Below are 4,929 nucleotides of genomic sequence, written 5' to 3'. Positions count from 1 at the left end.
TAGTGGTGGCCAGCCCTTGACTGTTGACTGTCATACACTGTGCTGTGTGTTTGATATACATTTTCTGAGATAATTATCACAGATCACTAGAAAGTAAGGCCCAAGAGAGCAGACTTTTTTTCCGTTTCATTCACCATCGTATCCACAATGCCTGGAAATTAGTAGGTACCCAAAAAATACTGGATGAGTGTGAGAATAAAGGAAGATATGAGTGGACAGATGTTTTCCAACATGGCTATTGCGGCGAGCTCTCAGAGATGTTCCTTCTCTCATTTCCATCTATCTCATGGGCCTGTCTTGGGCTCCTGTGGCTTTGTACTAGCTGGTAACATTTTTATCTCCCCATTCTCTCCTCATCCTCCTTGACTTTTTTTTTAAGGCAAGGTCTCACTCTGTCATCCAGGCTGGAGTGCAGTGGTGCAATCATAGCTCACTGTAGCCTCAACCTCCTGGGAACAGGCCACCCTCTCGCTTCAGCCTCCTGAGTAGCATATGCCACCATGCCCAGCTAATCTTTTTTTTTTTTTTTTTTTTTTAGACAGGGTCTCACTATGTTAGGCTGGTCTCAAACTCCTGACCTCAAGTGATCCCCTCACCTTGGCCTCTGAAAGTGCTGGGATTCCAGGCATGAGCCATTATGCCTGGCCCAATATTCTTGTTTGTTTATTCTTCCACATGAAAGGCACATTCATTTAGTCATATCCCAAAATTACCACTACAAGAATTTCTTCTTAAAATAAGAAAATATTATAAAGAATTGAAATCAACACAATTCATCATTCCAACAGTAATCTGACTTGCCTTTTATGTCACTGGGCAAAATAAAATTTATTATGGATATCGGCTTCATGTTTGTCACTATGATATCCTTTGACATTTTAGGCGAGGCAGGGAGGTAGCTTCTCCTGTGTAAAGAGTTCACTTTTGCCACCATTTATTTACGTGGGTTTTTTGCTGGTGTTCACAGAATATGCTGGCACCTTCTGGTTGTTCTTCAGTTGTTTCTTTTGTGAAGAAAGGAGTATAAAGATATGGTGATGTCTGGCATGGTGGCTCACGCCTGTAATCCCAGCACTTTGGGAAGCCAAGGTGGGCGGATCACGAGGTCAGGAGTTTAAGACCAACCTGGCCAACATGGTGAAACCCCATGTCTACTAAAAATTTAAAAAATTAACTGGGCGTGGTGGCGCACACCTGTAGTCCCAGCTACTCAGGAGGCTGAGGTAGGAGAATTGCTTGAACCCGGGAGGGGAGGTTGCAGTGAGCCGAGGTCGCGCCATTGCATTCCAGCCTGGGTGACAGAGCGAGACTCCGTCTCAAAGAAAAAAAAAAGACATGTTGAGTTCAGGTCATAGGACAGGCTGCCAAGAGCTGTTTCTCCATGTACCCTGCAAATGACTTGGGCTTCTGTGACGTTTTAAGCTCCACCCACTTCTGGGGACAGCAGAGTGACAGAAGTCCCCCTCCCAGACAGGGGAGAAGGATGGCCTCAGCACACAGCCAGTCAATTTCCTGTTCTTCAGCGCAGGTTTCATTGCCCTTTTATTCAAACTTCAAAAAGTAATCTTGGCCAGGCGCGGTGGCTCACGCCTGTAATCCCAGCACTTTGGGAGGCCAAGGCAGGTGGATCACAAGGTCAAGAAATCAAGACCATCCTGGCCAACATGGTGAAACCCATCTCTACTAAAAATAAAAAAATATTTAAAAATTTAAAAAATTAGCTGGGCTTGGTGGTGTGTGCCTGTAGTCCCAGCTACTCGGGAGGCTGAGGCAGGAGGATCGCTTGAACCCAGGGGGTGGAGGTTGCAGTGAGCCAAGATCGTGTCACTGCACTCCAGCCTGGCGACAGAGCAAGACTCCTCTCAAAAAAAAAAAAGTAATCTTTAAGGCTGTGCACGGTAGCTCATGCCCATAAATCCCAGAACTTTGGGCAACAGAGTGAGACCCCGTCAAAAAAAAAAAAAGTGGCTTCTGGAACTAGGTTGCTCTGCCACTTCCATCATTGTGTCCTGCTGGTTCTTTTTTTTTTTTTTTTTTTTTTTTGAGATGGAGTTTTGCTTTTGTTGCCCAGGCTGGAATGCAATGGCATGATCTTGGCTCACTGCAACCTCCGCCTCCTGGGTTCAAGCGATTCTCCTGCCTCAGCCTCCCGAGTAGCTGGAACTACAGATGTGCGCCACCATGCCCACCTAATTTTTTGTAGTTTTAGTAGAGACGGGGTTTCTCCATGTTGGTCAGGCTGGTCTCTAACTCCCGACCTCAGGTGATCCGCCCGCCTCAGCCTCCCAAAGTGCTGGGATCACAGGCGTGAGCCACCGCGCCTGGCCTATGTGTCCTGCTTCTTTATGTGTAAAATAAGGATAATAATAATATCTAATTCCTAGTGTTGTAATGAGGATTGTGTCAGTAACAGAACAGTGCCTAGAACAGAGTAAGTAAGCACTGCATGATGTTAACTATTAATAGTATTATCAAAATCATGGACCAGCCTATGCCGAACCAGAGAGAAGAGAGGTCCAGGAGCCCTCAGTTATCCCATCCACCATAACCAGGCACCTGCCCAGTAAGTGAGGAGGGTAAGGAAGAGGAGAAAAGTCAAGACCATGGTGGAAACACCCCAGGGCTCTGCTTCCTGAAGTCCCATGGCGGTGTCTGGGCACCTGAGTTTCTCTCATGGCCTCTGCACACTCCTTAGAGGAGGCCTCTGCAGGCAAGTCTGCTGCTACTCTTTAGGGGAGTCAGTTTCTCCCCAGCCATGGGGAAAGAAGAACGGCCCCTCTCGCTGAGTCGATCCTAGGCCACCATCTCCCTGGTCAGAGTGGAGCTGGGGTTGGGGGGAGTCCCAATAGGGAGACACCTCCAAGTTGAAGGGTTCCTCTGAATCTGGGTCATTTGTCAACCTAAGGGTCAGTCAGAAAGCCTGACCCAAAGCTCTGGCAGAGGGTCAGCTGCAGGGCTCTCCGGGAAGAAAGCACAAGGCAACTGCAGTTTCTCTGCTCTGACCAAGAACACTTCCCGACGCCCTGGCCTTCAGAGCTGACCACTCAGCGCCTCCTGCTGGCCCAGGCCTCAGGTCCTTCCTAGGGCTCCATACAATGAACTCTGGAACTGGATTGATGGAATGAGCTGAGGGCCTCTGGGTTTCTCTTTCAGCCAACTGGTAGCACCCAACAGAGCCAATCTTAGCCCTGGCTGGTATGTGGAGAACACACTGCAGGGCGGCAAGGTGGAGACCTGGAGGGAGAGGAGGAGCTCGGATCAGGGTGGTGGCAGGGAGGCAGGGAGACTTGAGGGGATCTCCGATATACAGTCTTCGATTTAGGACAATTTCCACCTACAGGATTTTTCAACTACAAAACCAGTATGCATTCTGCACGCTTCTTGACTCATGATGGGGCTACATCTGGGTAAGCCCATAGTAAGTTGAAAATACCATAAGTCAAAAACGTACTTTCGAGTCACAATATTTTCAACTTAAGATGGGTTTATGTGGATGTAGTTCCATCTGAAGTTGAGGAGCATCTGTATTGTAAAGACAGTAATGGCAGGATTTGTGGGTGGTCCAGGATGCTCCCAGGCTCTGTCCCTGAGCAACCAGGAAGATGGAGTTGCCATTTTGGAGACGAAGAACCTACCAAGGTGTGGGTTTGGAATCAGGAGTTCTGCTTTGAAAGTGAAGTCTCACCGTGACTCATAATTTGTGACATTTCCAAACCTTAATTTGCCTATAGAACTTTTCTTTTTCCAGAGCCTCTATCCAGACTACTTATTATTTATCAAAATAAATTAGATAAATAAATAACTTAATTTTAGAATTCATCTTCCAGATATACTTTACACAGATCATTCCAATAAAGGCAGGTTGGGGCCCGGGACAGTGGCTCACCCCTGTAATCCCAGCACTTTGGGAGGCCGAGGCAGGAGGATCACTTGAGGCCAGGAGTTTGAGACCAATCTGGGCAACATAGTGAGACCCTCCCCCTAGACCCCATCTCTACCAAAAAAAAAAAAATTAATTGGCTGGGCTTGGTGGCTGGCACCTGTGGTCCCAGCTACTGGGGAGGCTGAGGTGAGAGCATCGCCTGACGCCAGGAGATCGAGGCTGCAGTGAGCTGTGATCTCGCTACTGCGCTCCAGCCTGGGTGACAGAGTGAAACCCTGTCTTTAAAAAAAAAAAAAAAAAAACAGCAGGTTGGGAAAATCTACAAGGAACAAGGGCAATGTGTGTATGTTATTTAAAATAAGATCATAAAACGTATTTTAAACCTTCCATAATCCTAATGCTCTAACAAATAAATTAGTTGGCCGAGCGTGAAGAGTCACACCTGTAATCCCAGCATTTTGGGAGGCCGAGGGAGGCGGACCACCTAAGGTCAGGAGTTCAAGACTAGCCTGGTTAACACGGTGAAACCCCCGTCTCTACTAAAAATATAGAAATCTTTGGGAGGCCAAGGCGGGCGGATCACGAGGTCAGGAGATCGAGACCATCCTGGCTAACACGGTGAAGCCCCGTCTCTACTAAAAAAATACAAAAAATTAGCCCGCGTGGTGGCAAGCGCCTATAGTCCCAGCTACTTGGGAGGCTGAGGCGAGATCATCGCTTGAACCCGGGAGGCGGAGGTTGCAGTGAGCCGAGATTGCGCCACTGCACTTCAGCCTGGGCAACAGAGTGAGACTCCGCCTCAAAAAAAAAAAAAAAAATATATATATATATGTATACACACACATATATATACATACACATATAAATTAGCTGGGCGTGGTGGCGCACGCCTGTAATCCCAGCTATTTAGGAGGCTGAGGCAGGCGAATTGCTTGAACCTGGGAGGCGGAGGTTTCAGTGAGCCGAGATCACACCACTGCACTCCAGCCTGGGCGACAAGAGTAAAACTCTGTCTCAAAATAAATAAATAAATAAATAAATAAATA

This window comes from Homo sapiens, chromosome 22 (genome assembly GCF_000001405.40).
Source record: "Homo sapiens chromosome 22, GRCh38.p14 Primary Assembly".
Lineage (NCBI taxonomy): Eukaryota > Metazoa > Chordata > Mammalia > Primates > Hominidae > Homo > Homo sapiens.
Note: the sequence above shows the minus strand (reverse complement) of the source record.